The 24,617-nt window shown below is 39.8% G+C and overlaps 1 long non-coding RNA gene across 1 annotated transcript in view, besides 2 other annotated features; it reads right to left on the reverse strand.

Annotated features, from left to right (window-relative positions):
• The window catches only part of MRPS9-AS2 (MRPS9 antisense RNA 2), a 102,256-nt gene that overhangs the window by 13,571 nt on the left and 64,068 nt on the right, over window positions 1–24,617 (reverse strand). The window lies entirely within an intron of this gene.
• Window positions 19,584–20,783: an enhancer, noted in NCBI's record as "P300/CBP strongly-dependent group 1 enhancer chr2:105585853-105587052 (GRCh37/hg19 assembly coordinates)". NCBI's record gives its function as "activates an origin of replication core promoter dependent on BRD2, BRD4, P300/CBP, MED14 and CDK7 cofactors, with strong dependence on P300/CBP, by STARR-seq in HCT116 cells {active_cell/tissue: HCT116}" and the evidence as "EXISTENCE:reporter gene assay evidence [ECO:0000049][PMID:35650434]".
• Window positions 19,618–20,267: an enhancer, noted in NCBI's record as "OCT4-NANOG hESC enhancer chr2:105585887-105586536 (GRCh37/hg19 assembly coordinates)". NCBI's record gives its function as "activates a minimal SCP1, AML or CMV promoter by ChIP-STARR-seq in naive and primed H9 embryonic stem cells {active_cell/tissue: H9 hESC(naive and primed)}" and the evidence as "EXISTENCE:reporter gene assay evidence [ECO:0000049][PMID:30033119]".

Consider the following 24,617-nt stretch of genomic DNA (forward strand, 5'->3'; position numbering starts at 1 on the left):
TTTGGAAATACTGGTGACATGGCTGTGTGTAGATCAATGCAGACAGCTTTAAGAGGAATTTGCAGACGTTACCATTTTTATGCTCCTTATTAACTACTTTACACCAGTGTCCTTTGTGCTTCTGTCTCTAGCCAAATGGACAAATATAAGTTTAAACTTCACAATATGTAACTAAGAAGAAAAGTAAGTTAAACCGGCACACTGGTGAAAACCACCCAGCGGTGGGGCGTGTCTTGTCATTAGCTCATCCGTGCGACCCAAAACTTCCCCAGACACACTCACTAGATAACTATTGGAGGGCTCACAAACTGTTTAAGGGAAAAAATATTCCAAGAGTTATTTTATCTTTAGACCCACTGAACACTGTGGTATTTCAAATTCTAGACTGGGGGAAGGCCCGCAAAGAGGGACCTTTGGACACCAGGGAAGAAGGAAGGGAAGAAAAGGGAACAGGAGAGACACAAACTGGACGTTTAATCCCTCGTTGCTGATGCACCCTCGTCGATTTCATCACTTTTGACTCCTTTCACTCCTGTGCTTCCTGTGTCTGAACATCCTTGCCCTCTAGATTTACAAAGGTTTTCTACCAAAACTTTCTGACGGATCACTCCATGTGGGGAAGACAGGTGGCCAGGTGGGGTGGAAAAGAGAACAGAGCAAAACTGATGCACTCAGGGAAAAAAAATCATACCATAGTCTCTATTCCAGAAAGAAAAACTATAACCCACTTAGTCTGGTGGGACTAAGGCTGGAACATATGTGGGACTCTGGATGTGGAAGATTACATTATCCCTTGTGATAGATATAATGCTATAACAATAAGCAAGGTTACAGTTTGGCATTTTGATTTTGTTTGTTTTTTTCATTTAATTCACAGAGAAGCCTAGGTTCTTATCTCAGTTCTGCTTTCCTGTTTCCAAAGATACAAATGAATAGTTGATTTTCCAGGTCTTACTGTGATCAAATTGTTAAAAAACCATCTCGCATATTAGCATGTGATACAATTGTTGGCAAAAGGTACAATTTATCTTATAGGAGTTATCTTCAACTTCTGAGGAGAGGAAGTGAATGGAAAAACATGTTTCAGAACAAACTGTAAAAGGAAATTTTTATATTATGCACTGGCTAATTCTCAATAGATGGGTGACTTTGAAAGCTCAGGTCTGATGGTCAATTTCCATCTGGTATTGGAGCTGAGGTTGGGCTGTGGGTAGGAAGACAAGTCATGGGCTGTGTCGGGAGACTGATATGATCTGAACTTCCCAGCACTACCCTGGACTTTTCTATGACCTCCTTACTCCTCCATTACTTTAGGTTTGGGGCTAAACCATTTTTAAGAGAACACAGCCGTTGCCTGTTAGCAGAAAGAACTATTAATAGCAGCAAAGGCTGCACCCTTCGCAAATCGGTCAACTCATAAACTCAGACCTATAAATGCTATTAAAAATTAAAAATTAACAAGAAAGAAGAATATTTCTTTTCTTTTTCAAAAAACTACTTTTATTATGGAAATATAAAATATATACAAAAGTAGAAAGAGGTATAGGATGAGTCCCCATGTACCCATCTCTCAGCTTCAGTGATTGATTATCCATGTAAGGCCAGACATCTGCACCCCACTCACTCATCAGCCCCCCAACCTGCACTGGATTATTATCTTTTAATTGTGACAAAACCACATGTAACATAAAATGTAGCCTAGCAGTGATTTTCAAGTGTACAGGACAATATTGTCAACCACATGCACACTGCTGTGCAACAGATCGCAGAACCCTCCATCTTGTGTCTACACCCATGAACAACACCCCTCCCACCCCGCCTCCTCCCCTTAGCCCTGCAGTCGCATTCCACTCTCTGTTTATGAATTTGAGTCTTTGAGAAACACTCATATCAGTAGAATCTTGAAGGATTTGCCTTTTTGTGTCTGGCTTATTTCACTAAGCCAGTGTCTTCAAGGTTCATCCATGTAGCATGTGACAGAATTTCCTTCTTTTCAAAGGCTCAGTAACATCCCATTGCATGGAATATCACACACACACACACACACACACACACACACACACCATCATTTCTTTATCCATTCATCTGTGTATGGACATTTAGGGTGCTTCCACCTTTCAGCTATTATGAATAATGCTGCAATAAACACGGGTGTGCAAATATGTCTTTGTGTTCCTCCTCCCTTCGATTCTTTTAGGCACATACTCAGAAGTGGGATTTCTGGATCATATGGTAATTCTATTTTTAATTTTTTTAATGTGTCAATAAAATTTTATTTACAAAAACAGGCAGCAACTCCTAACTTAAAATAGACAAAACAATTTTGAAGAAGAACAAAATTGGGTGACTTACACTAACTGATTTCCATATTTGTTATAAAGATGCAATAATCAAGACTGTGATACTGGTGTAATGATGGACATATAGGTCAGTGGAACAAAATAAAGAGTCCAGAAATAAACTCATACAAATGTGATCAACTAATTTTCAATGAAAGTGTCAGTGTGATTCAATGGCAGAAATTATAGAATATCGGCATGCAAAAAAAAAAAACCTCCAATAAACCTCGATCCTTACCTCACATGCATAAAAATAAACATGAGATGGAACATAGACCTAAATATAAGAACAAAAACGGCTGAGCACAGTGGTTCACACCTGTAATCCCAGCACTTTGGGAGCCTGAGGCAGGCAGATCACCTCAGGTTGGAAGTTTGAGACCAGCCTGGCCAATATGGTGAAACCCTAACTCTACTAAAAATACAAAACGTAGCCTGATGTGTGGTGCATGCCTGTAATCCCAGGTACTCGGGAAACTGAGGCAGGAGAATCACTTGAATCCAGGAGGTGGAGGTTGCAGTGAGCCGAGATCGCGCCACTGTACTCCAGCCTGGGTGCGACAGGGTGAGACTCTGTCTCAAAAAAAAAGAACCAAAAAAAAAAAAACCAAAAAACAAAAAACAAAAACAAAAACAAAAAGCAAAAGAACATAAACTATAACTTTCTAGAAGAAAAACACAAGAAAATATATCACTGAAGCATGATCCATAATAGAAAAAATTGATAAATTGTATTTCATCAAAATTAAAAATGTTCCTTTTCAAAAGACACAAGAAAATGAAAAGGTCAGCCATTGGTCAGGAGAAAATATTTGCAAAACATATGTCTGACCAACAATTCGTATCCAGAATATATAACTAACCCTTATAATTCAAATATAAGCGCTCTTTCAAATCAATAATAGAACAAAAAGAGAGGGGTGGTGGAAGATTTGGATAGACATTTGCTGAAGAAGATATGCAAATGGAAAATAAGTACATAAAAAGATGATCACATCATTAGTCATAAAGGAAATGCAAAGTAAAACCACAATGAGCTACCTGTAACACTCACTAGAATAGCTAATATTAAAAAGACTGACAATAGCAAGTGTTGTCAGGGATGTGAAGAAACTGGAACCCTCTTACATGGATGGTAGAAATGTAATATGATACAGCCACTTTGGAAAACTATTTGACAATATCTAAAAGATCGAATGTACGCTTACAATACAACCCATTAATTTTACTCCTAGGCATCTACCTAAAGAGAAGTGAAAATGTATGTGCACACAAAAATTTACACTCAAATGTTCACAGCAGCATTATTTATAATTGTAAAAACTAGAAATAATCCAAATGTCTATCAGCTGGGGAATAGATAAACAAAATGTGGTCTATCAATACAATTTTTTTCTATTATGGATCACACTTTGGTGATATATTTTCTTGTGTTTTTTTCTAGAAATTTATAGTTTTGTTCTTTTTTTAAATTATACTTTAAGTTCTAGGTTACATGTGCACAACATGCAGGTTTGTTACATAGGTATATATGTGCTATGTTGGTTTGCTGCACCCATTAACTCGTCATTTACATTAGGTATATCTCCTAATGCTATCCCTCCCCCTGCCCCCACCCCACGACAGGCCCCAGTGTGTGATGTTCCCTGCCCTGTGTCCAAATGTTCTCATTGTTCAATTCCCACCTATGGGTGAGAACATGTGGTGTTCGGTTTTCTGTCCTTGTGATAGTTTGCTCAGAATGATGGTTTCCAGCTGCATCTATGTCCCTGCAAAGGACATGAACTCATCCTTTGTTATGGCTGCATAGTATTCCACGGTGTATATGTGCCACATTTTCTTAATCCAGTCTATCATTCATGGACATCTGGGTTGGCTCCAAGTCTTTGCTATTGTGAATAGTGCCGCAATAAACATACGTGTGCATGTGTCTTTATAGCAGCATGATTTATAATCCTTTGGGTATACACCCAGTAATAGGAACACTGGGTCAAATGGTATTTCTAGTTCTAGATCCCTGAGGAATTGCCACACTATCTTCCACAATGGTTGAACTAGTTTACTCTCCCACCAACAGCGTAAAAGCGTTCCTACTTCTCCACATCCTCTCCAGCATCTGTTGTTTCCTGTCTTTTTAATTATTGCCATTCTAACTGGTGTGAGATGGTCTCATTGTGGTTTTGATTTGCGTTTTTCTGATGGCCAGTGATGATGAGCATTTTTTCATGTGTCTGTTGGCTGCATAAATGTCTTCTTTTGAGAAGTGTCTGTTCATATCCTTTGCCCACTTTTTGATGGGGTTGTTTATTTTTTTCTTGTAAATTTGTTTAAGTTTTTTGTAGACTCTGGATATTGGCCCTTTGTCAGATGGGTAGATTGCAAAAATTTTCTCCCATTCTGTAGGTTGCTTGTTCACTCTGATGGTAGTTTCTTTTGCTGTGCCGAAGCTCTTTAGTTTAATTAGATCCCATTTGTCTATTTTGGCATTTGTTGCCATTGCTTTTGGTGTTTTAGTCATGAAGTCCTTTCCCATGCCTATGTCCTGAATGGTATTGCCTAGGTTTTCTTCTAGGGTTTTAATGGTTCCAGGTCTAACATTTAAGTCTCTAATCCGTCTTGAATTAATTTTTGTGTAAGGTGTAAGGAAGGGATCCAGTTTCAGCTTTCTACATATGGCTAGCCAGTTTTCCCAGCACCATTTATTAAATAGGGGATCCTTTCCCCATTTCTTGTTTTTGTCAGGTTAGTCAAAGATCAAATGGTTGTAGATGTGTGGTGTTATTTTTGAGGCCTCTGTTCTGTTCCATTGGTCTATATATCTGTTTTGGCACCAGTACCATGCTGTTTTTGTTACTGTAGCCTTGTAGTATAGCTTGATGTCAGGTAGCATGCTGCCTCCAGCTTTGTTCTTTTTGCTTAGGATTGTCTTGGCAATGCAGGCTCTTTTTTTGTTCCATATGTACTTTAGTTTTTTCCAATTCTGTGAAGAAAGTCATTGGTAGATTGATGGGGATGGCATTGAATCTATAAATTACCTTGGGCAGTATGGCCATTTTCATGATATTGATTCTTCCTATCCGTGAGCATGGAATGTTCTCCCACTTGTTTGTGTCCTCTTTTATTTTGTTGAGCAGTGGTTTGTACTTCTCCTTGAAGAAGTCCTTCACATCCCTTGTAAGTTGGATTCCTAGGTATTTTATTCCCTTTGTAGCAATTGTGAATGGGAATTCACTCATGATTTAGCTCTCTGTTTGTCTGTTTTTTGTGTATAGGAATGCTTGTCAGTTTTGTACATTGATTTTGTATCCCGAGACTTTGCTGAAGTGGCTTATCAGCTTAAGGAGATTTTGGGCTGAGACGATGGGGTTTTCTAAATGTACAATCATGTCATCTGCAAACAGGGACAATTTGACTTCTTCTTTTCCTAATTGAATACTCTTTATTTCTTTCTCTTGCCTGATTGCCCTGGCCAGAACTTCCAACACTATGTTGAATAGGAGTGGTGAGAGAGGGCATCCCTGTCTTGTGCCAGTTTTCAAAGGGAATGCTTCCAGTTTTTGCCCATTCAGTATGATACTGGCTGTGGGTTTGTCATAAACAGCTCTTATTATTTTGAGATATGTTCCATTGATACCTAGTTTATTGAGAGTTTTTAGCATGAAGGGCTGTTGAATTTTGTCAAAGGCCTTTTCTGTATCTATTGAGATAATCACGTGGCTTTTGTTGTTGGTTCTGTTTATGTGATGGATTATGTTTATTGATTTGCATATGTTGAACCAGCCTTGCATCCCAGGGATGAAGCAGACTTGATTGTGGTGGATAAGTTTTTTGATGTGCTGCTGGATTCAGTTTGCCAGTATTTTACTGAGGATTTTCACATTGATGTTCATCAGGGATATCGGTCTAAAATTCTCTTTTTTTGTTGTGTCTCAGCCAGGCTTTGGTATCAGGATGATGCTGGCCTCATAAAATGAGTTAGGGAGGATTCTCTCTTTTTCTATTGATTGGAATAGTTTCAGAAGGAATGGTACCAGCTCCTCTTTGTACCTCTGGTAGAATTCGGCTATGAATCTGTCTGCTCCTGGACTTTTTTTTGGTTGGTAGGCTATTAATTATTGCCTCAATTTCAGAGCCTGTTATTGGTCTATTCAGAGATTCAACTTCTTCCTGATTTAGTCTTGGGAGGGTGTATGTGTTCAGGAATTTATCCATTTCTTCTAGGTTTTCTAGTTTATTTGCATAGAGGTGTTTATAGTATTCTCTGATGGTAGTTTGTATTTCTGTGGGATCGGTGGTGATATCCCCTTTATCATTTTTTATTACATCTAATTGATTCTTCTCTCTTTTCTTCTTTATTAGTCTTGCTAGCGGTCTATCAATTTTGTTGATCTTTTCAAAAAACCAGCTCCTGGATTCATTGATTTTTTGAAGGGTTTTTTTGTGTCTCTATCTCTTTTGTTCTGCTCTGATCTTAGTTATTTCTTGCCTTCTGCTAGCTTTTGAATGTATTTGCTCTTGCTTCTCTAATTCTTTTAATTGTGATGTTATGGTGTCAATTTTAGATCTTTCCTGCTTTCTCTTGTGGGCATTTAGTGCTATAAATTTCCCTCTACACACGCTTTAAATGTGTCCCAGAGATTCTGGTATGTTGTGTCTTTATTATTCTCATTGGTTTAAAAGAACATCTTTATTTCTGCATTCATTTCGTTATTTACACAGCAGTCATTCAGGAGCAGGTTGTTCAGTTTCCATGTAGTTGTGCAGTTTTGAGTGGGTTTCTTAATCCTGAGTTCTAATTTGATTGTACTGTGGTCTGAGAGACAGTTTGTTGTGATTTCTGTTCTTTCACATTTGCTGGGGAGTGCTTTACTTCCAACTATGTGGTCAATTTTGGAATAAATGTGATGTGGTGCTGAGAAGAATGTATATTCTGTTGATTTGGGGTGGAGAGTTCTCTAGATGTCTATTAGGTCTGCTTGGTGTAGAGCTGAGTTCAAGTCCTGGATATCCTTGTTAACCTTCTGTCTCACTGATCTGTCTAATATTGACAGGGGGGTGTTAAAGTCTCCCATTATTATTGTGTGGGAGTCTAAGTATCTTTGTAGGTCTCTAAGGACTTGCTTTATGAATCTGGGTGCTCCTGTATTGGGTGCATGTATATTTAGGACAGTTAGCTCTTCTTGTTGAATTGATCCCTTTACCATTATGTAATGGCCTTCTTTGTCTCTTTTGATCTTTGTTGGTTTAAAGTCTGTTTTATCAGAGACTAGGATTGCAACCCCTGCCTTTTTTTGCTTTCCATTTGATTGGTAGATCTTCCTCCATCCTTTATTTTGAGCCTATGTGTGTCTCTGCATGTGAGAGGGGTCTCCTGAATACAGCACACCGATAGGTCTTGACTCCTTATCCAATTTGCCAGTCTGCATCTTTTAATTGGGGCATTTAGCCCATTTACATTTAAGATTAATATTGTTATGTGTGAATTTGATCCTGTCATTATGATATTAGCTGGTTATTTTTGCCCGTTAGTTGATGCAGTTTCTTTCTCGCATCGGTGGTCTTTACAATTTGGTATGTTTTTGCAGTGGCTGGTAAGGGTTTTTCCTTTCCATGTTTAGTGCTTCCTTCAGGAGCTCTTGTAAGGCAGGCCTGGTGGTGACAAAATCTCTCAGCATTTGCTTGTCTGTAAAGGATTTTATTTCACCTTCACTTATGAAGCTTAGTTTGGCTGGATATGAAATTCTGGGTTGAAAATTCTTTTCTTTAAGAATGCTGAATATTGGCCCCCACTCTCTTCTGGCTTGTAGAGTTTCTGCTGAGAGATCCGCTGTTGCTCTGATGGGCTCCCCTTTGTGGGTAACCCAACCTTTCTCTCTGGATGCCCTTATCATTTTTTCCCTCATTTCAACCTTGGTGAATCTGACAATTATGTGCCTTGGGGTTGCTCTTCTCGAGGAGTATCTTTGTGGTGTTCTCTGTATTTCCTGAATTTGAATTCTGGCCTGCCTTGCTAGGTTGGGGAAGTTCTCCTGGATAATAACCTGAAGAGTGTTTTCCAACTTGGTTCCATTTTTCCTGTCACTTTCAGGTACACCAATCAAACATAGATTTGGTCTTTTCACATAGTCCCATATTTCTTGGAGGTTTTGTTCATTTCTTTTTACTCTTTTTTCTCTAAACTTGTCCTCTTGCTTTATTTCATTAATTTGATCTTCAATCACTGATACCCTTTCTTCCACTTGATCAAATCAACTATTGAAGCTTATGCATGCATCACATAGTTCTCGTGCCATGGTTTTCAGCTCCATCAGGTCATTTAATGTCTTCTCTACACTGTTCATTCTAGTTAGCCATTCGTGTAATCTTTTTTCAAGGTTTTTAGCTTCCTTGCAATGGGTTTGAACATCCTCCTTTAGCTTGGAGAAGTTTGTTATTACCGACTTTCTGAAGCCTACTTCTGTCAGCTCGTCAAAGTCATTCTCCATCCAGCTTTGTTCTGTTGCTGGTGAGAAGCTGTGATCCTTTGGAGGAGAAGAGGCACTCTGGTTTTTAGAATTTTCAGCTTTTCTGCTCTGGTTTCTCCCCATCTTCGTGGTTTTATCTACCTTTGGACTTTGATGTTGGTGACCTACAGATGGGGTATTGGTGTGGATGTCCTTTTTGTTGATGTTGATGCTATTCCTTTCTGCTTGTTAGTTTTCCTTCTAACAGTCAGGTCCCTCAACTGCAGGTCTGTTGGAGTTTGCTGGAGATCCACTCCAGACTCTGTTTTCTTGGGTATCACCAGCAGAGGCTGCAGAACAGCAAATATTGCTGCCTGATCCTTCCTCTGGAAGCTTTGTCCCAGAGGGGTATCCGCCTGTATGAGGTGTCAGTCGGCCCCTACTAGGAGGTGCCTCCCAGTTAGGCTACATGGGGTCAGAGACCCACTTGAGGAGGCAGTCTGTCCATTCTGCAAGCTCAAACACTGTGCTGGGAGAACCAATGCTCTCTTCAGAGCTGTAAGACAGGGACTTTTAAGTCTGCAGAAGTTTCTGCTGCCTTTTGTTCAGCTATGCCCTGCCCCCAGAGGTGGAGACTACAGAGGCAGCTGGCCTTGCTGAACTGCGGTGGGTTCCACCCAGTTCGAGCTTCCCCAGCCACTTTGTTTACTAACTCAAGCCTCAGCAATGGTGGATGCCCCTCCCCCTGCCAGGCTGCTGCCTTGCAGGTTGATTTCAGACTGCTGCGCTAGCAGTAAGCAAGGCTCCATGGGCATGGGATCCACCAAACCAGATGCAAGATATAATCTCCTGGTGTGCCATTTGCTAAGACCATTGGAAAAGCACAGTATTTGGGTGGGAGTGTCCCATGTTTCCAGATACCTTCTGTCACAGCTTCCCTTTGCTAGGAAAGGGAAATCCCCAGACCCCTTGCCCTTCCTGGGTGAGGCGATGCCCCGCCCTGCTTTGGCTCGCCCCCCATGGGCTGCACCCACTGTCCAACTAGTCCTAATGAGATGAAGCAGGTACCTTGGTTGGAAATGCAGAAATCACCCATCTTCTGTGTCAATCACGCTGGGAGCTGCAGACCAGAGCTGTTCATATTTGGCCATCTTGGAATGGAATCCTCTATTTTTAATTTCTGATGAAACTCGATGTTGTTTTCCACAGTGACTGCACCATTTTACATTCCCACCAACAGTACATGAGGATTCCAACTTCTCCACATCCTCTCCAACGTGTGTTATTTTCTGTTTTTTTTGTTTGTTTGTTTTAATAGTATCCATCCTAACAGACATAAAGTGATATATCATTGTGGTTTTGATTTACTTTTCCCTTTTAATTAATGATGTTGAACATGTCTTCCATATGCTTCTTGGCCATTTGTATATCTTCTTTGGAGAAATGCCCATTTAGGTTGTTTGCCCATTTTTAAATCAAGTTTTTGGTTGTTATTGGGTTGTCAGAGTTTTTAAAATATATTCCAATTATTATCCCCTTTTCAGATATGTGGTTGGCAAATATTTCCTCCCATTTGCAGGATGACTTTTCATGCTGCGGATTTTTTCCTTTGTTGAGCAGAAATTTTAAAGTTTGATGTAGTCCCATTTATTTTTGCTTCTGTTGCCTGTGTTTTTGATGTCATATTCATGAAATCATTGCCAAATCCAGTGTCATGAAGGTTTCCTCCTATGTTTTCTTCTAAGAATTTTATAGTTTCAGGTCTTATCTCTAGGTTTTTAATTAATTTCAAGTTAATTTTTGTGTATGGTATAAGAAAAGGGCCTAACTTTTTCCTTTTACATATGAATTTTCCTAACCAAATTTGTTAGAGAAATTATCCATTCCCCATTGTGTAGTCTTGGTATCTTTGTCAAGGATCATTTGACCATAGATGTGAAGGGAACATTTCTGGGCTCTCTATTCTGTTATATTGGTCTATATGTCTGTCTTTATGCCAGTACCATACTCTTTTGATTGGTGTAACTTTGTAATATGTTTTGAAAACAGTATGTATGAAGCCTCCAGCTTTGTTCTTCTTTCTCAAGATTATTATGGCTATTCAGGGTGTTTTGCAATTCCATTCAAATTTCAGGATTTTTTTTTTGTTTCTGCAAAAAGTGCCATTGGGATTTAGGTAGGGATTTTCTTTGCTTATGTTTATTCTTGTATGTTTTGCTCTTTTAAATGAAATTGCAAATGTAATTCTTTTCTCATTTTCCTTTTTGGATTGTTCATTGTTAGTGTATAGAAATACAACTAATTTTTGTGTGTTGATTTTGTATTTTGCAGCTTTTCTAAATTTGTTGATCTGTTCTAACAATTTTCGTATGTGTGTATGTGTGTAATCTTTAGAGTTTCTACAAATTTGATCACATCATCTGTGAAGAGAGGTAATTTTGCTTCTTTTTTTCACAATTTGGATGCCTTTTATTTCTTTTTCTTGCCTAATTGCTCTAGCTAAGACTTCTAGCACTATGTTGAATAGAAGTGGTGAGAGTAGGTATCTTTGCCTTGTTCCTAACCTTAAAGGAAAGTTTTCCATGTTTCACCATTGAGTATGATGTCAGCTTTAGTCTTTTCATATATAGTCTTTATTATATTTATATATTTCCTTCTATTCATACATAAGTGTTTTGTCATAAAACAGTGTTGAATTTTGCCAAATGCATTTTCTACATCAATTGAGATCATCATGTGATTTTTATTGTTCATTCTGTTAGTGTAGTATATTACATTGTTTGATTTGGGTATGTTGAACAATCCTTGCATACCAGGGATAAATCCCACATGGTTTTGATGTATAATCCTTTTAATGTGCTGTTAAATTTGGCTTGTAAATATTTTGTTGAGGATCTTGGCAACTATATTCATCAACAATACTGGTCTGCAGCTTTCTTTTCTTGTACTATTTCTGCCTAGCTTTGGTGTCAGGTAATGCTGGCCTCATAAAATGAGTTTAGTAGTGTTCTGTTCTCTTCAATGTTTTTGGAAAAATTTGAGAAGGATTGGTATGAATTTTTCTTTAAGTGTGTGTAGAATTCTCCAGTGAAACCATATGGTCCTCTGCTTTACTTTGTGGGGAGATATTTGATCAATGATTCAATCTTTGTACTAGTTATAGGTCTGTTCAGATTTACTATTACATCATGCTTCAGTCTTGGTCTGTTATATTTTTCTAGGAATTTATTCATTTCTTCTAGGTTATCCAGTTTTGTTGTCATATAATTGTTCATAGTAGTCTCTTACTATCATTTTATTTCTGCAGTATCAGTTGTAATGTCTCTTTCATTTCTGATTTAAATTGGTTGAGTCTTCTCTGTTTTTTCTTACTCTAGCTATGAGCTTGTCAATTTTGTTGATCTTCTCAAAAAACAAACTTTTTTAAATTTTCCTATTGTTATTCTATTCTCTATTTTATTTCTTTCTGCTCTTATCTTTATTATTTCATTTTTTCTTCTAATTTTGGATTTAATTTGTTTGTCTACTTCTAGCTTCTTGAGGTGTAAAGTTAGTTTGTTTATTTGCAAGCTTTGTTCTTTCTTAATGTAGGTGTTTACCACTATAAATTTTCCTGTTAGTACTGCTATTGCTGCATCCCACAAGTTTTAGTATGTTGTGTTTTTTTTTCTTTTTTGAGACGGAGTCTTGCTCTGTCACCCAGAGCTGGAGTGCAGTGGCGCGATCTCCGCTCACTGCAAGCTCTGTCTCCTGGGTTCACACCATTCTCCTGCCTCAGCCTCCCAAGTAGCTGGGACTACAGGCGCCTGCCACCACGCCCGGCTAATTTTTTGTATTTTTAGTAGAGGTAGGGTTTCACCGTGTTAGCCAGGATGGTCTGGATCTCCTGACCTTGTGATCTGCTCGCCTCGGCCTCCCAAAGAGCTGGGATTACAGGTATGACCCACCGCATCTGGCCTGTTGTCTTTTTATTTTTATTTGTTTCAAGATACTTCTAATCTCTCTTGTGATTTCTTATTTGACTCATTGGTTGTTCAAGAGTGTGTTGTTTAATTATCACATATTTGTGAGTTTTCCAGTTTTCCTTTTGCTATTGATTTTTAGTTTCATTCCATTGTGTTTGGAAAAGATACTTGATATGATTTCAGTATTTGTAAATTTCTTAAGGCTTGCTTTGTGACCAAACATGTGATCTATCTGGCAGAATGTCCTATGTGTGCTTGAGAAGAAAGTGTATTCTGGTTCTGGTGGGTGGAATGTCTGTATATGTTTGTTAGGTCCAATCGATCTACAATATTGTTCAAGTCCTCTGCTTCCTTATTGATCTTCTGTCTGGTTGATCTATCCATTATTGAAAGTATGGTATTGAAATGTATAATTATTGTGTTACTGTCTATTTTCTCAAGTCTGTCAATGTTTGCTTCATATATTTGGTTGCTCTGAAGTTAGTTGCATACATATTTGTGATTGCTATATCTTCGTGGAGAATTGACCGTTTTATCATTATATAATATTCTTCTTTGCCTCTTGTGACAAATTTTGACATAAAGTCTATTTTGCCTGATATAAATATGTTCACACTTGCTCTATTTTGGTTACTATTTGCATGGAAATATTTTTTCCACCTTTTCACTTCAGCCAGTGTGTATTCTTAAATGTAAAGTGAATCTCTGTAGAAAATACATAGTGGCATCTTATTTTTTTAATCCATTCAGCCACTCTATGTTTTTTGATTGGAGAACGTAATTCATTTACATATTTTTTTCTTTTGGAGATGGAGTCTCACTCTGTCTCCCAGGCTGGAGTGCAGTGGCGCCATCTTGGCTCACTGCAACCTCCACCTCCCGTGTTCAAGCAATTCTCCTGCCTCAACCTCCCAAGTAATTGAGACTACAGGCGAGTGCCACCACAGCCAGCTGATTTTTTGTATTTTTAGTAGAGATGAGGTTTCACCATGTTAGCCAGGATGGTCTCGATCTCCTGACCTCATGATCCGCCTGCCTCAGCCTCCCAAAATGCTGGGATTACAGGTGTGAGCTACCGCACCCGGCCAGTCCATTCACATTTAAAGTAATTATTGATCGGAATGACTTACTATTTCCATTTTGGCAATTGTCTTTTGTCTGTTTTGTAGTTATTTTGTCTTTTTTTTCTTCTCTTGCTGCTTTCGTTTGTGATTTGTTGATTTTTTTTATGCTTTGATTATTTTCTCGTTTTCTTTTGTGTATCTACCATATGTATTTCCTTTGTGATTACTATGGGGCCCACAAAAAACATCTTACAGTTATCACAATCTATTTTAAGCTGATAACAATTCCAGTTGCATACAAAATCTCAAATCTTTTTCATCCCTCCCAACTTTATGTTGTTGATGACACAAATTAGCACCATCATCCCTCTGCATTTGTGGGTTCCACGTCCATGCATTTAACCAACTGTGGGTCAAAAATACCTCCACAACAATAAAAATAACAATACAACAATAAAAATAATACAGATATTAAAACAATACAATATAGCAACTGTTTACATAGCATTTACATGTATTAGATTTAAGTAATAAGTAATCTATTAATGTATAGGCAATCTAGAGATAACATAAATTACATTGGAGGATGTGCATATGTTATATGCAATACTACACCAGTTTAAATAAGGGATGTGAGCATTTATGGATTTTGATATCTGCAGGGGTTCCTGGACCCAATTTCCTGTGGCTACTATGGGATGACTGTATTTTTATATTTTGTGTTTATTAACATGGTTTATAGTTGTAGTTATTTGTTAAGCTTTCATATTTTAAAGTCTATACCAGAATTTAAAGTGATTTATGTACCACCATTACGGTGTTATAGTATTCTATATTTGTCTCTGTACTTCTTTACTAGCAAGTTTTGTATTTTTGTATGCTTTCATGTTGCTATCTTATGTCCTTTCATTTCAACCTGAAGGATGCTCTTTAGCTTTTCTTATAAGGCAGATCTAGTGATGATGAACTCTCTTGGCTTCTGTTTATCTGAGAAAATCTATTTCTCCTTCATTTTTGAAGGATATTTTTACAGTAAATAGTATTCTTGGTTGACAGTTTTATTCCTTCAGCACTTGGACTATATCATCCTATTCCCTTCTGGCCTCTAAAGTTTCTGCTGGGAAATCCACTGATAATCTTATGGGAGCTCCCTCATATCTAACAAGTCACTTTTCTCTTCCTGCTTGCAAAATTCTCTTTCTGATTTTTGACAGTTTGATCATAATGTGTCTCAGAATAGGCCTCTTTTGTTCATCTTATTTAGAGTCCTTTGAGCTTCTTCAATTTTAATGTCCATTTTTTTCCTTCAGCTTTGGGAAGTTTTCAGCCACTATATTTTAAAATAAGCTCATTGTCTACTTCTCTCTCACTGCTCCTTCTGAAACTCCCATTATTCACATATTTGTCAACTTGATGGTGCGCCATGAGTCCCTTTTGCTTTCTTCAATTTCATTTTGTGTTTTGATCTTCTGGCTCAATAATTTCAAATGGCTTGCCTTCAAGTTTGCTGATTCTTACTTCTGCTTGATCAAGTCTGCTGTTGACTCCCTCTAGTGAATTTTTCAATTCAGTTATCAAATTCTTCACCTCCAGAATTTTATTTATTTATTTATTCATTTATTTATTTATTGAGGCAAGGTCTCACTCTGCCACCCAGACTGGAATGCAGTGGCACAATCACGGTTCACTGCAGTCCCAACCTCCCAGGCTTAGGCAATACTCCACCTCAGCCTCTTGAGTAGCTAGGACTATAGGTGCATGCCACCATGCCTGAATAATTTGTTTTTTAATTTTTTTGTAGAAACGGGGTCTTCCTATGTTGCATAGGCTCAGAATTTCTTCTTGTTTTTTCTTCATAGTTTCCATCACTTTATTAATTTCTCATTTTGTTCATGCATTGTTTTCTTGATTTTGTTTAGTTATCCATCTGTGCTCCCTTTTAATTTATTGAGCATTTTTATGACAATTATTTTAAATTATTCATATATCTCTATTTCTTTTCTTATTAAGTTTTTCTTTTGTTGTTGTTGTTGTTTGTTTGTTTGCTTGTTTTAGATACAGGTTTCACTATGTTGCTACCCAGGCTGGTCTCAAATTCCTGGGCTCAACTTATCCTCCTGCCTCAGCCTCCCAAGTAGCTGGGACTATAAGCATGTACCACTATGCTTGGTTTAGCTCTGTTTCTTTAGGGTCAGTTTCTGGAAGTTTAATTTGCTCCTTTGATTGAGCTGTGTTTCCCTGATCTCTGTATGCCTTGTTATCTTCTGATGAGACCTTGGCATCTGAAAAATCAGCCACCTCTCCTAGTCTATGTGGTCTGGTTTGTACAGGGAAATCTTCCACCATTTGTCCCAGCTAGAGTTTGTAGACATCTTGCAAGTCTTTTCTAGGATATGTTCTTTCTGGGCTTGTGCATGTGTGTCATCTCCTAATTGAAGAGGTTTGCCAGTTTCTACCTGGGAGCTCCTCCTATTGCCTATCTGTGGCAGTGCAGACTCTCATGCTGGACTAAGCCACATTTATTGTCTTTGTTCTCAGTGGTCTCTAACCCAGTGCCTTGTTCCTGTCACCACTTAGATCCAGACAAGACAAAAACCCCTCCAGGCAGTCCCCTCCAAAAGTCAGACTTGTTGGACACATATTCTGCTCTTCTCTTTCTCTCCCTGGGGAGAAGTTGGGATTTGGAAGTTTTCTCCAAATCATACAGTACTGTGTGGAGAGAAGGAACTTTAGTGAGTGAGTGCCACAGATTTTCCTGCCTGGCTTTGATTCAGTTGGCTTCATGTTTTCCTGGAGTTCAGGAGCCTCTTAACTTGTTTCTGGATTTTTCACAAAGGCAGCTGGTGTGTGTGTTGTTGTGTCAGTGTCTCTGTAGAGGAAGGAGGGCCTGGGACTTCACATTCTGCCATATTATTCATGCCACTCTTTTGACCTGAATTATTTGAAAGCAAATCCCAGACATTGTATAATTTCATCCATAAACATTTCAGAATATATCCCTAAAAGAAAATTATTATTGGTATATGCAACAGAATTAACAAAAAGTCCTTAATATAACTATCAAATTTCCAACTACCATGAAAATTTTCCACTTTTTCCACGATTGTTTATTAAAACTTAGTTTATTCAAATCACACTCTAAACAAGGTCTTAATTGCACCTAGATGATATGTCCTTTAAGACTCTTGATCTTTTGGTTCCTCCTGCCTCTCTTTTTTTCTTATAATGTATCTACTGAAGAAATCAAATAGATTATTATGTAAAATTTCTCACATTCTGGATTTTTATTGCACTCCTATGATGTCTTTTAATGTGTTCCTCTGTCCCCTGTATTTTCTATAAACTGTTAGATTTAGAGGCTTGATGAGATTCAGGTTTATGTACTACCTATTATGTCACATCAGGAGATTGAACTATCTGACTACCCCTCTTTTTTGTGATGTTAAGTTTGATTAATAGGTCTAGGCATTGTCAGACAGATCTGTTCATTATAATGTTTCCCATCGGCTACTCATCTGATAGTTTAGCAGACATTAATAATCACTGGCTCCATTGATTGTTTTATTTGGGATTTTTAAATGGCAACATGCTACTCTACCATTCCTTGCAGAAGCACATTTCATAAGAACAAGGTAATATTCTATAAGCGTCCATCATCTCATATAAAATGGGGATGATAACACCTGCCTTACCTTACCTTATACCTTGGATGGATGCATAAAGCATTTGGTAAGCTGAAGTCACTATATAAATGTATGGTAGACACCATAGTTGATCCCCCAAGATGCATGCCGCTTCAGAGGGTGCACAGAAATCAATCATGCTAGTAACTGATCTGAGAATGGGCTTGTGACCCTACCCTCATGGCTGAGTCATGAGGGGATGCTCCTGAGAAGCTCCTGGGAAAAGGTCTTTTCTTGCTAAACAAAGCCATAGAAAGAGACAAATAACTTTTGTTTTCTCTGAATAATGCCATATCTGGAAATGTTACTACCAACCTTGCTACTACACCAAGGAGATACTCAACGACACTAGTAATCTGATGAATCAACTAACTCTAAAGCCCCTCATTTTAAGGAATCTCCTGTTATGAGAGAGAAAATATTCATTGCTGCTAGCTAGTTTGAGTTGGGGTTTCTGTTGCAATGGAAAACATTCTAATCAGTACAAAAAATCAAGAATGATAATGGTGGTAATGGTGATGAATATAGCATTATTTTAAAAACTACCAGGATAGATACTGATATTAGAGGTGTTCAGTAAAATTTGAACTGGTAAACATTTACTGTCAGTCAATCCTTCTTGTGTGTGTACTCTGTATAAAGCATTGCACAAAATGATGAAATTTTGCACAGAGAGCTCTCTAAGAACGAGCTATATATCACTTCTAATTTAAAGCTATCAGTTCTGATTTCTGTGCTGGGAAAAGGTACCAGTTCATAATCTTATGGTCTTTCCTGAGTTTGGTTTTCTCTTTTATGTGGGATAATCTAGAAATTTCTTTGTAGGGTAATAACATTTATGAGTGGAGGAAGCACTGAATTCACTCGCAACTCAGGAAAGTTTACATGACTTCCCAAAATTGTAAGTCCCCATACATGGATTGTAAGACACTGTCAAAAGCATTTTTAAAATGTACAGTGTCTTTCTTATTTGAGGAATATTTTTTGACACACAAAATAATGTGATGCATCCTAAAAACTACATTTAAATCCCAGCAATATCCTGTACGCATGCAATCTTACGTATTTGACGAAACAGCTCCTCATCTTAGATTTGAATAGAAAATTGCATATTTTGAAAAATGTAAGAGAATGAATCAGAAAGTCTTTAAGATAATTCTTAAACCTCTAAAATGCTACTGAGAGGTCTCACTGTTAAGAGCCAGGCTGGATATGGGGAGTGCTAGAAATTACTACCTAGCAGAAAATATTAAAATTCATCTCCTTGTCTGGGGAGGGGAATAGTAGAGACACAGCTCAAATCAAGAGAAAGAGATAAATCAGAAAAGGGCAGTAGATGTAAATGTAGAAAATGGAAAAGAAAGGTGGGAGCGGGAACCAGATCTCGGCTCCAGAGAATGTCAACCTGCAGGGTTGAGAAACAGGTGAAACATTAAAATAGACACTTGGAGTCTCTAGAAAAAAAATCAAACCAAAGACTATGCAAGGCACAGCACCCAAGATACATCAAGAGAGAAGAAAAGCCTTATGTGTGATGCAGGGAGACAGAGGCAAACAGGGCTAACAGGGTTACATAGACAGGGTCGGGGAAACCCAGCTAGGATGAGGAAGTGGCTCTATCATTGGTGTGGATTTTACTTTAAACCAATATGGTGATCCTGGGACACTTAAGGAAATGGCCTTACTTTCCAAAACCCTGGCACTGGGGTGACTTAGAGAAGGTAACGAGTGTAGGAATGGGTGAATCCTAGGATGAATCAAGACTCCCAAAGCATAAAGTCTGCAGACAGAAAGGTGCTGTCTTTCTATTTAAGATGGAATCAAGCCAGTTAGCACGCAGAAATGGGAGTGCTGGAGTCAGGTTCCAGGAGAGCAAGATATCAAACCAATGTTTAATGGCAGAAGGAATGCAGGTAGGGTCAAGAACTCAAATAACCAACTAGAAGTCAGATCCTTGTAAGAGTAATCTTAAGTAAAGGTCCAGGGAAAAATCTCAAGTCAAGGTCATTAAGCACTAACAAGAGAGCAAGGGCCAGTGTTACTTCTCTGTCAGAACAGGTAACGGCTATGGATGGATGTCTACCTGCCAGAGGACCTCCTTTGGAGGCATACCCCACCACGGGTGCCTTCCCGTCAGCCCTAAAGTCCTGGGTGTTGAGAAGAGCAGATAGCATTTTTGACCCCTAAATCATTATGCAAAGAACATACATGGGATTGGCCTTTGAAAACTCTGGCAAATGTGTCAAAGTATCCAGCTAGGACTGGGCAGGGGAATCCTTCATTTTGGCCTCAAGGTCCTCTCCTCTCCTGCCTCGGACCTGCTGGGTGATCAGGGAGGTTGACTGGTATAAATGGCATCCATTGTTCTCTGGCTTCTGGTTGGTTCAGCTATTAAAGGAAGCCAGCAGGAGGGTAAAGAGTGAAGGAAGGGTATTTAATCCGTCAGCAACTTCCCTGCTGAGTCACTGCCTCTACAGAAGGCTACAACCCACATCAGACAACTCATTCAGCCAACTCACACTTGTACTTCCTGTGTGCTCCCCAGCCCACACCTCCTCAACACACACCTGGTCATCACTCCCTCCCCTTGCTCTCATTCAAGTCCAGGTGTGGTCAAGCTCCTGCTGTTAAGAGCCACAGGTACCGCACCATACCTGATGGTTTTTCCTAAACTCTGTCCTCACCTTTGTAAAGAATTCCTTTATTAAGCTCTGTCCAGTTACCCAGCTCTGAATGGGCCATGAGACAGGATTCCGACCGATACACCGACTAAACTCACCATTGGCAGTAAAGTTGTTTTTGTATTTCTTTACTTGCAGGCAGATTTTTAAGAGGAATTGGTGTAGCGGTTTCCTAGCTTGTGATGAAAAAGAAAGGGCAAGATGACCTCCTTGTGGGAGTCAGTGAGCAGCAGGGGTTGAAGGTGGAGCAGAAAACCAGGGCCCTCTGCCTCCACACCCTGCCATGGTGATAACAAGAAAAAGCAGCCTAGGCCAGGTGTGGTGGCTCATGCCTGTAATCCCAGCACTTTGGGAGGCCAAGGCGGGCAGATCACCTGAGGTCGGGAGTTAGAGACCAGCCTGGCCAACATGGTGAAACCCCATCTCTACCAAAGATACAAAAATTAGCTGGGCATGGTGGCGGGTGCCTGCAATCCCAGCTATTCAGGAGGCTGAGGCAGGAGAATCGTTTGAACCTGGGAGGCGGAGGTTGCAGTGAGCCGAGATCGCACCACTACAATCCAGCCTGGACGACAAAACAAGGCTCTGTCTCAAAAAGTAAAAGAAAAAGCAGCCTAGAGACATGGCACAGGCTCGGGAGACTGCCATCTCTCTGCCAGGCAGGCCCACTCCTGCCCCCAACGCCTGTGTCAGTGGCACTGCTGTAGCCGGAACACTGGAGCCCCAGCACTGCTGGAAGTGCAGAAAGCAGCAGCAACTTGAGAATGAACAGAGACGTGTTTTGTTGCTGCTTTTACACAACTTTTACACAACCTGTCAGAGCTACTCTTTGGCAAAACCCTTCTGTTACTGGGAGAGATGGATTTTTTGCTGCCAGCAACCACATGCATTCAGGAAATTAACTCAGTGAAAAAGAACCAGAGGCCAGTAGTGGACTCTGTCTTCTCACAACCGTCTTCACCTTTACATTCCAGAATCTGTATTTCTGCTGAAGCTCGGCACACCCTGACTCCCTGATATTTGGCAAGACTCCCTTGTTTCTCTTCAGTGACTTCCACAAGAAACCTCATTGCTGTACAAGGAGATCAATGACTTGGTGGTGAACATTCATCAGTGAATATTCCTCAAGCTTAGTTATAAGCAACATCTTATGTATGGATCATTCTATAGGCAGCTTGGTTCTCAAAGATCTGCTCTGAGGATTCCTGTCCACCCTTCCTAACCTAAACTTCCCAACCTAAATTATCCAATCTTTTCAGATAGCCCACATCTACTAGCTGACTGTCAGGTTACTTTATACTATATAGACCATTCTTCCATCTATCCATTCATTGATTCATTCATTCAACGAATATGTATAGTTTGCTAAGTACTGGGTCTGTATCCAGTTATAAGAAGAAATAAAGCCACCGATTCCTGACTGGAAGAGCTCCAATCATTTTTGGGAAAAGGACAAGTCAGTAACTGCCTGGAACCCAGGGAGCATTTGAACAAAGGGCTGACAGAGGAGGAAGCAACTGATTCTGCTCGGTTGGGGATGGGGCTGGTGGGGTCAGCAAAGGCTCACATGGAGCCTGGTTGAGACAGTGTGTCAACATTGGAGTGATGCCATTTGAATTGGGTTATGAAAGATGATTGGGATCTTACCAGTCAAAGAAAGGGAAGAAGAACACTAAAGACAACAGGAATAGCATGAGTGAAGGTGTAAAAATATGCTTCACCAACCCACCCCTAGTCCTTTGCTTCCCTAACAGCCTCCAAACATTGGGGCCCTTGGGCCTTGGTCCTGGGTTCCTGTCTGCCTTGCATCACATGTTCTCATTAGTGAACACATCTGATCTTGTGCATTAAGTCTCTGTGCAGGCACCTCCAGAATGCTCCTCTGTGTTCCAGGCTCATATATGCAACTGTTGAGCTGGCATTTCCACTTGGATGTCTATAGGCATCTGAAGATGATCCTCTCAATAAGGGGCCACACAGTTCTGAAGAAATTTGAGTCTTCTTTTGTTCTTCCCTCAATTTACCCGTGGGTCCTGTTGGCAATACTGCCAAAATATGCCTCAAATCCATTCATTTTCCCCACTTTCATTGGCACTCCTCATGTCTAAGCCATCTTCCTATCTTGTCTGGACTACTGGATGAGTATGAAGACTGATGTCGCCAGTTCTGTTTTGTTCTCCATACAGTATGCAGGCTGAAGGTTTTAAAGCATAACTATTTTACTCTCCATCTTAAAACCCTTTAATGACTTCCTATTGTCCTTAAAATACCCCTCAAGCTGGCTTGAGAGGGCTGCAGGATCTCACTCCATCCACCTCTGTCAGGTACCTAGAACCAGGTGCTGCATCTCCTCCTCCAGAGGTCTATCTGGCTGCCTCCTCCTCACCCCTCATGTTTTAACTGTAATGTTTCATCCTCAGAAAGGTTTGACTACGTTGCCTAAAATACTGCCCTGTCCACTGACTGTCCATGATACCTCCTTGTTGATTCCTTTCTAGAACTTATAAGTATCACATGGATTTTTAGCTTAAAACATATGTGTCCCCCTCACTGAAATGTAAGCTCCCCAAGGGTGGGAACCCTAACTGCCTAGTGCTCCATCATATTCCTAGGGACTGGATCAGTGCCTGGCACAAGGCAGGTTGTACATAACTAGGTGTTGGTGAGAAAATGAATAAAATGATGGTTTTCCCTCTCTTGGCTAGCCCTAGATCCTCACCACTGAATCCTTACCCCCTTCCAGGAGCACCGTCCTGTAACTTCAATCCTGCACCAGGTTCCACGCAAACTGACTGAGGCACAAACTGGTTCCTTTCAAGATTCAGATGTGGGACAAACATCACAACATTTGGAGCTCAAAACTCCTCCATTTGCTGCAAATTTAGAAAAGATCTAATGACCATGGGACTGTCTCCTAGATTTTTTTGAATCTAAATTGAAACTTGTCTCCATTTTTCTGCTCTCCAAATCCCCTCTTTCCCATGGACAAGAGTTCATGATGGCTCAGGGCAGTACTGACCTACTGCCCTGGCTTATATTTCTGACAGGTTGGATCAAAGTGCTTTCAATAAGAGAAAAAGAAGGATGAACAAACTGGTGAGTTACCTGCCAACTGAGGAAGGCCACAGCCTGACTCCAGCTCTCACCTGACCCAGCTCAGTAGAAAAGGAAGGCAAAAATAAAGATAAAACATGAGTGAGCAGATAGGACAGGATAACAAATGTTAATATTATTTGCTCCCCTAGCAACACTATGAGTAGCCTTCTGCTGGTTCCATTTCTACTTCCAAATTTTTAAAAATTATTTTTAATTTTCAAAATGATTTGAATAGACTTGAGAAGAGGGAGATAGCTGTTTAGGTAATGTGTCATTCAATACTATGTTCAGTCCAACCATTAGTTGATATTCTACTTTCTCAATTCATGTTCATCACAATCTGTTGACTGTATGTGTGCACAGTATAGTTTATGGTGGTTCATCCTTTTTTTTTTTTTTGAGACAGAGTCTTGCTCTTTAGCCCAGGCTGGAGTGAAGTGGCATGATCTCAGCTCACTGCAACCTCCAACCCCCAGGTTCAAGCAATTCTCCTGCCTCAGCCTCCCAAGTAGCTGGGATTACAGGTGCCTGCCACCATGCCCGGCTAATTTTTTGTATTTTTTTAAGTAGAGATGGGGTTTCGCCATGTCAGCCAGGCTGGTCTTGAACTCCTTACCTCAGGTGATCCACCTGCCTCGGCCTCCCAGAGTGCTAGGATTACAGGCAGGGGGAGCCACCACACCCGGCCTAGTGGTTCATCCTTCACTGGGTATTATTATATGCTGTGTAATAAGCATACCAGGCACAAGGGAAATAAGGATGAATTTGACACCCTATCTGTTTCTAAGGAAGTTCAAAACGCAGGCAAACATGTAAATGATTAATTAAAACAGTATGGTGCCTGCAATGGTAGGAATGTGTGCAAGGAAGAAAAAGGGTGAGTGTATTTTGCACATGAGAGAATTATAAGTAATTTTTGGCCAGAGATCGGACTGAAACACTTTGTAACGTGGTCTCTGAATTCTTTGAGACTTCTCCCATCAAGAGAGCATGTCTGAGTCCCCTGTCCTTGAGCCTGGATCTTGTGACTGATTGACTGATAGAATAAGACAGAAGTGATGCCATGTTGGTTTCTAAGCCTGGGAAGGCCCAAGAAACTGCCAACTTCCAATTCCTGCTTCTTAGGTCACTTGCTCTTGGAAGCCACCACATGCTTGGCGGAAGCCCAAAGTAGCCCACCTGGGGTGAACACACGGTGAAGCTGAGACATCGTGAAGACAGGGATGTGGCCGGTCTCCACCTGCTCCAGCTCCTCACTGTTCCAGCTTCAACCACTGTCTGACTGGGTCCCACCAGGAAGTTCTTCTGCTGGTCTCACTGGGGTGTCTCCTACAAATGCACTTAGT

Source organism: Homo sapiens, chromosome 2, assembly GCF_000001405.40.
Source record: "Homo sapiens chromosome 2, GRCh38.p14 Primary Assembly".
Lineage (NCBI taxonomy): Eukaryota > Metazoa > Chordata > Mammalia > Primates > Hominidae > Homo > Homo sapiens.